The 13,003-nt window shown below is 35.9% G+C and overlaps 1 annotated feature.

Annotated features, from left to right (window-relative positions):
• Positions 5,684–5,843: an enhancer, noted in NCBI's record as "active region_16607". NCBI's record gives its function as "activates an Ori minimal core promoter by ATAC-STARR-seq in GM12878 lymphoblastoid cells {active_cell/tissue: GM12878}" and the evidence as "EXISTENCE:reporter gene assay evidence [ECO:0000049][PMID:35858748]".

Raw genomic sequence — 13,003 nt, forward strand, 5'->3', positions numbered from 1 at the left:
TATCTATCTATCTATCATCTATCTATCTATCTATCTGTCATCTATCATTCCTGATTAAAACACTATGCTGTGACTACTTAATGTCTTTATTTTGGGGACTATCTACAGTTAAAACTAATTCTAATATAATTTAGTTAAATCAAATAACAACTAAGGTGTCAGATAGCTTTAGTCAAGGTCTCCATAGAGTAGGGAAAGTGTCTTCTTGGAATTTTCTTGTTCTCACTTTGATTGCACTCATTTGAATTGGGTAAAATTTTCTTTCAAAGCTTCATGATGATTGCTAGTCTTTTTCTCCAATTTCAAGACACTGATTAATATTTTTGCAAGACTTTCCCTCTTATGGTTAATTCCCTTACTTTTGGACATGGATTTGAGAAATGATTTAGTTGCAAAAATGTCTGTATATTTTAAAATAATTTTCAGACAATTCTTACACTATAGGGTTTTAATGTTCATTTTTAAGAAACATAAAATACTTCCAAAGCCCAGATGAGTTGGCTTGTTCATTTTCACATTAGTATAATGGAGTTTTCCTTGGTGAGAACTAGTTTACCACCCTTTCATTAGATGCTATTGTTAATTACTACAAGTCTCCCATATGGCTTCTAGGACTGCATTACAGATGGACAATTCAGAGTCTAAGTCGGAACTGGTCACTGAGCTACTTAAAGCAAAAGTACGAATCAATACTAAAGATGATTTTCAAAATTTATCTTCATAAAACTTGCTCTCACGTTTTTGCAATCTGAAGAGTTCTAAGAGAAGCAGGAGAGGCAAGCAAACACATTTTCATCTTCCGTGGCTGCCATATCCTTTTAAGTAAAATTTACTCTTTGTCTATGCCTTCTCCTAGTTATCTGTTCTCAAGCTTTAATATGCTTTAGAATTCCCTGGAGGCCTTATTTTACAAAACTAAAACAACAATAACAACAAAAAAACAAAACAGGTTCCTGGTATCTACCTCCTGAGTTTGTAATTCATTCAGCCTGGGGTGAGACCCAAGAATGTACCTCTCTAACAAGTTTTCAGTGGTGTTGATGCTGATGCTACTGGTCCAGAGTACCTCTTTTGAGACCCACCATGCATCTCTGTTTTCAAGTTTCCCCTCTATACTCTTCATGTCTTCTCTTCCCACATCAAATGCTATCTGAGTACTCAACGATTACAAAATAGTGACAAACTACCTTTACATGCAATCATGTTAACAAATCTCAGAAGTGTTATGCTGAGCTAAAGCCAGACACAAGCATGCATGTACTGTACAATTATGTTTATATAAAGGCAAAGCTAACCCAGAAAGATTGAAATTTGAATAGGGGTTATTCCTGAACGTGTGGGAAAAGCAAAGAGAAAGGCACATAGGGGAAGGTTATGAGGTGATGCAAATGTTCTGTACCTTGGTTTGATTAGCAGTAAGGTGGTATACATTTTTAAGACTTAGCCAGTTATACAACAATGATCTGTAGTATTTTATACATGTAAATTTTACCTCAATGAATAAAAAATTATGATTACAAAAATAAGTATGGCTGTTGGTTGAAAAAATGTCTGTTAAACCAATTCAGACTAAAGTTAAGAGGACTGACTTAATATGGTTCTTCTCCTCAAGAGCATTTGAATTTTAGTGGAATAACAAAACAGAAAAAAAATTCGTTTAATAGTGGATTTTGAGATATTTGCTAGACTCAGGGTAGACTGTTCTGGGAGCAGGGATGATTCCTTGAGACTGCTCTCAGCACCATTTCTCCATTTCCTGATTGGATAATCAAGACATGTTGAATTTTGATTTATTTTTATTTTCTTAGAAAGGTTAAGCATCCTCACAGAGGACTTTCTCACCCTCCACAATAATGTAGGCCTCTCTACAACCCAATAACTGTTTATCACATTATCACATTTTATAGCGTCTTTCCACTCTGAAATTGTCTTGTTTATTCATGCTTCCTTGGCTATTTTTTTATTCCACTCAACCATAATGTTCACAGTATATCTCTAGCACCTAGAATAGTACATTGAACATATTAAAAACTCAATAAATATTTATGGGATGAATAAAAGAATGGATAAGTCTGATTCTTAACACTTCATAGAGTAAAGTAAACATTCTGGCCAATTCTATATCTGTCTCACTTTTATTTGGCCACTAAGACCAAAGATGAATTATGTCAGGCCACTTCCAAGATTGTAGGGAGGCTCACTGAGAGAGGTGGACAACACATGCCTATACAATCCCACATGTTATGAATTGCTTAAAAGCAATCTTTGATCCAGGGATATGGATATCTACCCAAGGATCGTCCTGGAATATAATTCAGACACAGATATCCAGCTGCGTTGTCCAGGAGTTCACAATGCTGAACTGTGGGTGGCAATGGGGAAGAGCAGGTTAGTTGTTGGGCAATGATAACATGAAAGGTATTTTATAACATTGTCTTTTGTTATTTTTTGGCATTTTCATACATACTAAAATTTAAATATGCAGCTTTTTTTTATGTTTCTAAATTTATGTAAAGTAAAAGGCATCTCTGTGTTAAAAGAAGTACTACCTTCCCTCTGGAAATTTTCAATGACTACATACACATATGTTCACCTTGGAAACTAGGAAAAACATAGTCATGACTCATGAGAAATGTAGAGGCAGAAAATTCCATAAAGGCACCTCTTGGCCACCTCTTGATAATGGCAGAAAGTGAATGAACTGCTCAAAATGATAGCTCTTTAAATTTCCTTTGCCAGGACTGCTATCTGAAAGATACATTGGTATACAAATTACACATAGAGAGTGTGGTTCTCAAAGTTCAAAAAATTTCCTATTTCTAGGTTTTGCCACTAAAATCTTGCATGTCCTTGGACACAAGTGACCTTTAAAATGGGAATAATTATTTTGGACCCATCAACCATATAAAGCTAGTCTGTGCAATAATGGGTGTAAAATACTGTTAAAAAATCAAAATATGTTATTTGAATGTGAAGTAATAGTTCATTTTTATTAAAATTAAACAATGTTTTCTTATATGAGTAGTGGCAGTAATAATATTATGAACATACAAGTAACACAACAAGTATTTTAAGCACAATTTAAAAGTAAAGTACATGCTTTTAAACTCTGGAAGTGTATTTTTCAGTATGTGCTATGAAATTATTTTCAAATGATGCAATAATAAAATTTAGTGAAAAGATCTCAGGATTATTTTATTATCTTGTCATTGTACAATTAAAGAAAGTTGGAGGTATAAAAACTAAGTGACTTACTCTAGATGTCAAAATTGCTTATTTACAAGATTGAGACCAGAATCCAGAGATCTTTACATGCCATCCAAGGAGTAAAAATGATTCAGATAGTGAATTTTTCCTGCTTATTTGGTATGTAAAGACTGGTATTTTAAATATTAAATTTCATGTCATGACCTCCTTAGCACATCACTCTCCTAGAGTAACTTACCATGGACAATGGATTGTAAAAATCAATGAAAAACATGAAGATAACTGGTAGAACACAGGTTACACAGCCATTCTTACACAAGTGAAAATGATTTGTTTATAGCTTACTCCTTGGTTTCTTGGAATTTTCTTTTTAAAAAGGCAACAAGTATTTGTACTATCAGTTAGACTTAAAAAAACATTCTTCAGAAAGAGAAAATGTATTTGTGAAATCCATTTAGTAAAGTTGAGTGTTTTGAAGGATGTTGCTGTCATCACTATGGGCCATTTGCTAATTCCCAAGAATGTGTATATAGCAAAATGTCTCTGCCTGAGGCAGTCCCTCCTAATGTTGGAGCCAAATCAGTGGAATGGATTGGATACACATAAATGTTTTGTCACCTTTCTAGTACCGGAGAGCTTAAATTGCTGAATCTTTCATTCCCTTTCGTGGCTGAGAAATGTGTGTTCTTTATTATGAAGGGTTTAGGGATTGCATACTGTGTAATAGCTCAGATGAGTGAAAACAAATTTAAATATCAGCAATGCACTGACTTATACTTTACATGTTGCAAATACTCTTAGAAACAGTATGGGGCCTTATTAAGTTTGAACCTCAGGTCTTTCAACTTCCCTGAGAAAAGAGAACAAATGGTAACTGCATGAGAAAATAAGTAACTAACGTTTGTGATTTCCCACTTCAGCTCAAGCCCAGATATTTTTGTCAGTTGTTAATTACAGTCATATTTCTCTAAAGCATTTTCTTTTTTAAGGATTAAAAAAAGGAGAGAAGAATTTCAAGAAGAAAGGCTACACCATGCGATACAGGTTCACATTTCTCTGAGTGGAGAGGAACGCATTGGGGTGAAGGTGATAGGCAGGGCCACTTGCTGGAGAACGGGGAGCTAGCACTTAGATAGAGTTGATAGAAGTGGAAATCAGACTGGGATAAAGTCAAGAGGTAGGGCTAGATCAAGATTCAAAGCAGAAAATGGCAAGAACTCTGGCTTGACAGTAGGGATGTCACAGGGGAGAGATGAGATGAAAACATGGTGGGATGCAGTTATGTTCATTAGGCCAAGAAAACGTGTTCAATATCAAATTCAGTGCTCTTCTCTTTTTCCAGATACTTGTATACGATTGTTTATTAATTCCCTGTGTCTCTAATATTGTGGATCTTCTTCCTGTAACTCATACAACTAGCAGATTTCTGGCTTAAAGACAGAAAGGAAGGGTAGCATTTTTACATGAGGAGGGATTAAGGCAGAGAGAAGTAAATTAATTGAAGTTCCTATAATTAAATTACTAATGGTATCTGCATTAGGGTCACATTTCCTACCCCTTCATCCTGTATTATTTCTAGAATCTTTACACTGGAATTGACCACAGAGCATTGCACTGGATTTGACCACAGAGGTCATTTAGTCCAGAATTTTATCATTTGGTCCACCTTTCCTTGGAGATTAAACTAATGAGCTGGCATTGCACCCACCCACCTTGGCTTTATCCTGATAATTCCTCTCAGGGTGAGTGGTAGTTCCCATGGAGAACACTAAGCAGGTGGTTTTGTTGCACAGTGAGCCCTGGGCTTCCCTGAAATGCCCTGAAGTGTCAGTTACTGTTTTGATTGCTTTTTCATTTTTCTATCCAGACACTTGTTGACAGGAAACTCTGTGGCCACCATTCATTGCATTTAAGAAATCAAACAACCACAAACTGTCACTGTCACTTTCATTTCCTGTCATCATTCATTTTCTTGAGCTGCTGCTAGTTTATCAGTGTAGCTGGATGTCCCGTGCTCCTGGGCATTGGGGAGGAAAGACTGTAGGTATGTGCAGGTGCTGAAAAAAGATGTGAGAGGAACGCAATAAACACTTGCAGCCTCGCTCCTGGCTTTCCGTTTATGTCATTCACCTGTGGGTTTAGAAACGTTTTCTGTTTCTAGGATCAAATGGAAATCCCAGCCTTATTGCTGTAGGATTTTCTTAATCCTTCCACAGTAGTTAAAGACTCTCCCTAGCTTCACTTTGTTTGTTGTAGCTTGTGTAGGAGTGATGCAAGGCAGGCTTAACTGCTTCCATCAGCAGCTCCAGGAGGAAGTTTTGTGATGGTAAGAATTGGATTTTGTTGTCCTTCACAAGGACCTTTCTCCCAGCTGTTTCTATATAAATGTACGTCTCTATAGCTCAGAGAACTATCAGGAAACAGGTGTTTTTCCATTAATAGCCAAGATGCATCAAAGGAAGGAGAAGGTACAGCAGTATGTGAAAATCAGGTGGTCCACGGTTGAATACTTTGTACACAATAACTAATCACTCAAAGCTTATATCTATTTATAATAAAGTCTATAATTACAAGCCAGGTGGCTGTGGTTAGGAGATTGTGGGGTTTTTGAACAGGTTACTTGACTCGCCATTACAGCTTTAGAGGAGATATGTCCACCTGGGTAGTGGGTGATGTGGCACGTGTTTGCCTATAAACAGCACACATGTGCTCTGCCTTAGCTTCTTTTCAGCTGTCTTCCGAGTCTGTGTGCATCAAAGTTGTATTCTACAAATCTCCTTGCTTACTGGCAAATATAATAGCCAGAAAATTTTACAAAAGTTCTATGGGCTTTGAGTTCAGAAGTTTTGCTATACTTTTTCCTGAAGAATATTATGTACAACTGATATAAATTGGAGTTTGCTGATGCAGTATTTTGAAGTCTAAGATGTCATCTGGCCAGTTGACTCTAACTATGGAGTCTTCATTTTTTCCTTACCATGTGCTTCAGAATTCATAAGAGATGATTTGAATAGTGATATAATGACCATGACATATTGTAAAAGTGAAGTTATGAGTAATTTGTTAATTATTTATTGAGTATCTCTTATAACCAGTGACACTTTTAAGGGCTGTGGGGTATATAAATAAGTGTAGGAGATGGTTCCTCTACTGAAAGAACTCTTTTCTCAACTGGGAAGATATGATTCAAAGAGAAAACGTTGCCGCTACTACGTATTCTATCACTTGCTCAGACAATATGTGCTAAAGGTAGTAAGATATGTGGGATTATTATGCAAGGAGATTGTATTTAAAGCTTCATGAAGAAGGTGAGATTAGAAAGATGAAATTAACAGGTAAAAAGAACAATAAAGGGCATTTGGGTGTGGTGATTGTCTTAGTTTTTTATGGCTGCATAACAAATTATCACAAACTTTGCTGATTAAGATAACACATATTTATTCCTTCTCATTTCTGTAGGTCTGGAGTCTGGCTTCACTGGGACCTCTCCTCCATGCCTCCCAAGGCTGCAAACAAAGTGTCATTTAGGCAGCATTACTCTTTGTAACTCAGGATTCTCTTCCAAACTCACATGGTTGTTGGCAGAATTCAACTCCTTGCAGCTCTATGACTGAAGCTCTTGTTTTCTTGCCAGCTGATGTCCAGGGAGCACTCTCAGCTGCCAGAGGCCTCTCTCAGGTCCTTGCCATATGGCACCCTCCATAGACCTCTTACAACATGGCAACTTCCTTCTTTCAGGCAAGCAGGAGAGTGTCTGCTGCTTTAAACCTTCCTCTTCAGGAAGGACCTAGTCTCTCTTTTAAAGGCTTACCATATTTAAGTCCAGTCCACCAATGGTAATTGTTCTTTCAATTAACTCAAATTCGACAGATTAGTCAACCCAATTAGTATTGGGAGTAAAATTCAATCATTTTTACAAATTATGCACACATTCAATTGGATGGGATTGCACAGGGGGTGCGTGTACAAAAGGAAGTAGAAATCTCAGGGACCATCTTAGAATTTGCATATCATAGTGACAGAAACAATGCAACATGGAGTGGTTTCACATAGTGTGTTGGGAACATGGTTAGTTGCACAACATAACTGAAGAAATCAATTGTGAAATAATTTTGGAAATGCCAGTTTGGAAAACACAAACAGACACACACAGACACACACAGACACACACACACACACACACACACACACACACAAAAATAAGTACCTCAAATCTTTAAGCCATTGTAATGGGTTATATTGTCTTAGCATTTAAAATGAGAGTGCAAGGGACCTACTGTCCAATAGACTTAATAATCTTGAGACATCTTGTCAACTCTTCCTAAAAACTCTGATAATGACTATAGTTTACCTGTAGCTAGGAATTTTTCATTATATTGTAAAGGGTTGTGAAAAACAAAAAAGAAAAGAAGAATAAGAAAAGAAGAAGGAGAAGAAGAAAATAGGAAGAAGAAGAAGAAGAAGAAGACGGAGAAGAAGAAGAAGATAAAGAGGAGGATGCAGTGTGGTGAAAAGATGAGGAGGAGAAGGAGGACAAAGTAACTATGCATGATCCTCCAAACCTAAAATATTTATTATGTGGCTGTTTATGGAAAAAGATGCTGTCGCCTGACTCTAACTTCTAAGCACAAAACCCAAAGGCAGTCTTCAACTTGGACATTTTAGAGGATGAGTGCTAAAGAAATTACCTCAAAGTTTGTGTTAAAATGCAAACTTTATGTATTGAAAGTTTATATTAAAATCCTCAGGTCTCACTTTAAACTACAGCACTCCGAAGGGTCTTGGAAACTGTGTATGTATGAGGAAGGATGTGTGTGGCAGAACTAATGAATTCTCACTTCTCTGGATAGATATTTAACTACCCAAGCACTAGTCTGAGGCTTAGTGTATGACTTGGTCATTGTTTCAGCTCCTCTGGCAAAATTCTGTGGTCCAAAATGATAGCTGATATTACTTTGTCTGAACTGAAATTTTACAACAATTGCTTTGTTGTGTTTATATTTGTATTTATTTATTTAGAATTCGCTGGGTCTTTTTTATCTGAATATGTATGTTTTCCCAGTTCTGAGAAATTATCTTCTATTAATGTTTTGATAATTTCAATTCTTCTGTTTTCTTTATTCTCCTTTTTAAAAATTCCACTTATTGGTACACTTTTATTTATCTTTGATATTGTGTATATTTTTATTTTTCTTTACTTTATGTGCCACATCTGTGACTCAAATGTCTCCAGATGTTGGTAAGAATCATCACCCATCTTAGCTACATCCTTCGTCCTGTGACCCAGAGTTTCCTCCTTCCTAATTTATCACTTATCGTTTCTCCACTAACTTTTCATTTTCTAATACATTGCCAAATGTCTTTGTTTCTCTAATGAACCTTTTCTTAGCCTGTCTGTTGTAGTGTATTTATGTTCTTTTTATTCCTTTGCATTATTTTATTTAATTTGCAGGAAGGAGAAGTGGTAAACATGTGTAGCCAATCAGACTTAACTGAAAGCCAAAATTATGCTTTTGTGAATATTTTGGTTGTGTGGACTCTTCTTTTAGCATTTGAAAGTAAGTCATTCCATTGTCTTCTGGCTTTCATGACTCCAGAAGAGCAGTCTGTGGGATTCTTACCTTCATCCTTCAGGATGTAATGTCCCTTTTTTCTCTGGCTGCCATCAAGATGTTTTCTTTGTATTTTTTTTTTCAGCATGTTGAATTTGACATGGCTAGACTTTTAAAAACTCTTTTTGTATTCTTCTTGGTATCTCTGAGCTTCTTGGACATGTGACTCGACAACTTGGTATGGTATCATAACTCTTAAAGGCTCTGTTCTGTATGTTTTTGTGTGTGTGTTTTTCCATTATACTTCTCTTTGTTTTTCCATCTGTAATTTCTATGCAATTATTTTCTGGTTTGCTTATTATTTTCACAACCATGCCACATCTATTGATGAGTTCCTCAAAAGTATTCATCTTTGTTACTGTGTTTATAATTTCTGGCATGATAATTTGATTCTCTTTTTAGTTTCGATTGCTCTGCTGAAATTACCCATTACATATTGCACATTGTCAGACTTTCCCATTAGATTGTGAACACATTAATCAGAGTTACTTTAAATTATATGTCTGATAATTTAACATCTATATCATATCCGAGTCTAGTTATAATGATGGCTTTGTCTCTTAGAAGCTTGCCCAATCACCACTGGACTTTTTATATGTTATACTTCGTTTAAAGATAGACATTTTATATAGGATAGTAGAGACTGAGGTAGTAGGTTTTATGTACATGTTCATTCTGTTAGGCCTTGGGTGAGAGAGTGAGTTGAGTTAATCTAATTGAAAGTGGAGCTGAGTACGAATTTTATAGTTGTTGTGGTTACCTCAGGACAGCAAAAGCTTCAACATCCTCTTTTCTAGCAATATGTTGCATTCATGATGGAGGCTGGTGTGTCAGAATGCTTTTTTTTTTTTCAGTTTTTACTCTACCAACAACTTTATTATCTTTTTTCTCTAAATGTCAGAGAGGGTCTCAGTCTTTCAGGTTACTTGTGACATGATACATACCAGCTTGGTAGTGGACTGTGGGGGAGTATTCACTGTTATTCCAATTAAGCCTCAGTGTTAGACATCTTACACAATCATTGTCTTTGAGTTCCATAAATGTTGCCTTTTCAGTATTCCTTCTTTCCCCGAAATCTATATTCTGACCCTGGCATATGTTCTTGCTCCCTCCTCAGAGATACAAGGTTTTGTTCTTGTTTCTTTTCCAAGTTTCAATAAGTTTCCATAGGTACTCAAAAGGGGGCAGTGTCATTGCCCTTCCCCCACAAATTAAGTCATGGTCTTATAGAGGAGATAAGGAAAAAGATCTCAGTGGAGTTTGATGCCCCTTTCTTAATAGCTATAGCTTTCTCCCTCAGTTACCGGCCATGAGAGGGACTTTCTCAGTTCTCTTCCAGTATTTTCTATGAGCATGAAGTGGGGCGTGTGAAGGAAAATCTCAAAATAAGATAGAAATTTGAGGCTCTCAAGTACCTGACCCTCTTTTCCCTCCACCAACTCATGAGTCATCACAGTTGAACTCTACAGCTCATGTCTTATCTTTCCCTTCAGGCACTTGGCTCTGACTTTGGGCCAGTTGGTGACCCTAAAACCTGAAGAATTCAGTGTGTTTAAGAAAAAAAAGCACATGTTTTCTATTTGCCCTAATATTTTTTTTGTGTGAGATTTTATGGGATGCTCTTTCCAGCTCTCTACATTTCTAAGGAGAAGCAATGTCAAGATTCTTCTAATATTAGCTGCACTTATGTAAATTGCATCGCTGCATTAGATTTATCAACTGTATGTAACTACTTATGTTACATATTTTTCAAGGTACATTTATTTACCCCTTAGAATTCATTCAGGTATATAGAAACTATCATTTTCAGTTCAGTGATTAGAAAAAGTGGCAAAGAAATATATTCAATAAAACAAATCAATTTAAGAACAATGCTAGAACTTTAATATCCGTTCTCTTCCTGTCTGATATGCCTTTATTGTCACTGAAACAATTTAATTTTCCTTTTCATAAAGTGGGGGGACCTTAATAGTTCTTTAGTCACCTGCAGAATGCCCACCACTGTTTGCTGCCCAATTCAGGCCTTTGGTATTTTCAGCACTTCAAACAAATTTTATTATGGAATAGTTATTTCAAAACAGGTTAAAATTTAACCAGAAGAAACCCTGTTTTCCTGGAAAGCTTAAAAGTATTACTACATTTTTCTGGATGGACAGTCTAGAGAATTTAATGCAAATACCTATGACAAATGGCAGGTCTCATTCACCTTCCATTTTGAGGCAGCAACCTAGTTGCAAAAAAGATATAAAGAACCTTAAAGTGTTAAGCAATAAAATATTACTTAAATCTGTAAGTTGTGCTATGCCTTTTCCTTTATCATTTAAATTTCTCTAACTTTATTTTCTTTGTTTGATAGGCTTACTGATGTCATAAATATACTTTATAATTATAAAATATATGTTACACAAGTAGTGATTTTGTAAATATTTAGTGGTTTAGCTTAACTGAACATTAATTGAATTTTGTAGGGGCAGATTCCATTTTTCAGAAGCTTCTGATTTCTCCCTCAAGTAGGTATTAGAAAAAAATATATCTTTGAATGGTTTGCTCTTTGCATTTTGTAGTTGCTTTTGTGCCTTTTTGTGTTTAAATTTCTCAAGTTATGGGTTCCTCATGAGAGCTGACACAACATAGTAAAAGATCTAGATGGATTGGTAGTAAATTCGTGGGTAGTTTTCTTTTTAATAAAGTCTTTGTAAGGTTTGTAAATGCCTCAGGCAACTTATTCTTCTTCTTCACCCTTGTCATAAGGGCAGGTTATGAACAAAAAAGAACAAATATTTCTTACAAGAGTAGTTTATGTGTGAACAAAGCAGTGCATTTCAAGTAGCCTTTTGTTGAAAAAAAACACTTAAACTTTTTTTCTGCTTCTAGTTACTGTATATTAAAGAAAATAAAAAACCAAGACCCATAGTATACCCTTATGGGTTTATACACTTCCGAATGTTATGAAACATAGAGAAATTTAGCCACAGAATCTGAAGCAAAGTTCGCCAATGATGTCCTGGGATTTGATCATTTTCTAATATTTTATATGGTCTGAGCAAGCAGTGTACCAGTTAAAAAATAAAAGTGTGTGCTAATATTGGCATTATGGCATCTCTTCCGAAAGCATCACTCTACAGTGCCAATGATGCCTTAATATTTCCTATCTTTGAAAGAAGTTATGTGATTTCTCTTTTAAAGCTACAGCCACTTTGGCAAATTACTTGCTCCTCCTGCTCCAAATACTAACCTATAGCAACAGATGTTTCACTGGTAAATATAAAGACATAGCCATTGTATGCTGTTTTAATTATTTTAACGTCTGAAATTTTGAACTTTAAGGTATTTGTTTAAGAAGCCTTCTCTAAATTCTAACCCATCCTAGTCTGCAGCTATTCATTGACATAACAAGCTAATTATGTAAATTAAAAATAAAAATAAAATTTTAAAAAAATTCACTCATTTCCAATGGTCATAATAGGCCACAGGCCTCTGTAATTTGGTTTCAGGAATACAGAGCATCTTCCACTCAAAGGAAAGGATCAAAAAGTGTCTGGAATCCTACCATTCTATTTAATTAAACTCTTCCCATTTTGTTTCGATCTGTTTAAAAATACAAACATCCCAGAAGAAGAGGTCAAAAGCACAGGCTGGTATAATTACTCCAGTCTTTCCTATGAAATAAGAAATATGCAAAAAGGAAGATAATCTCATGTAGCATCCTGGAACAAGTGACATCAGCAAGATGGTGGATAAGAGTTTTCTGTCATGATCTCCAAAGTGCGCTGATTTTGACAATGACCCATGGACCAGAATACATTTGTAGGAATATGCAGGTTTAGCAAAGAAGATTCAGCACACCACTGAAGCAAAAATTCCACCAGCAAACACGCAAAAGAGGATAAAAATAATAGCTTTACTTTGCCCATTTTGCCACTCCTGCAAGTCTACACAGCTGAGTGCCAAGAGAGACCCCTTGGCCCATGATTTTTCTTACAGGAAAAAATGAGAGCATAATGAACTGGTGCTCAGGTCCCCCAGCGTATTAGCCTGTTTTCACACTGCTATAAAGAACTTCCCAAGACTGGGTAATTTATAAAAGAAAGAGGTTTAATTGATTCACAGTTCTGCACGGCTGGCAAGCCCTCAGAAAGCTTACAATCATGGCAGAAGGTGAAGGGAAAGCAAGGCACCTTCTT

This window comes from Homo sapiens, chromosome 2, assembly GCF_000001405.40.
Source record: "Homo sapiens chromosome 2, GRCh38.p14 Primary Assembly".
NCBI classification, from domain to species: Eukaryota; Metazoa; Chordata; class Mammalia; order Primates; family Hominidae; genus Homo; species Homo sapiens.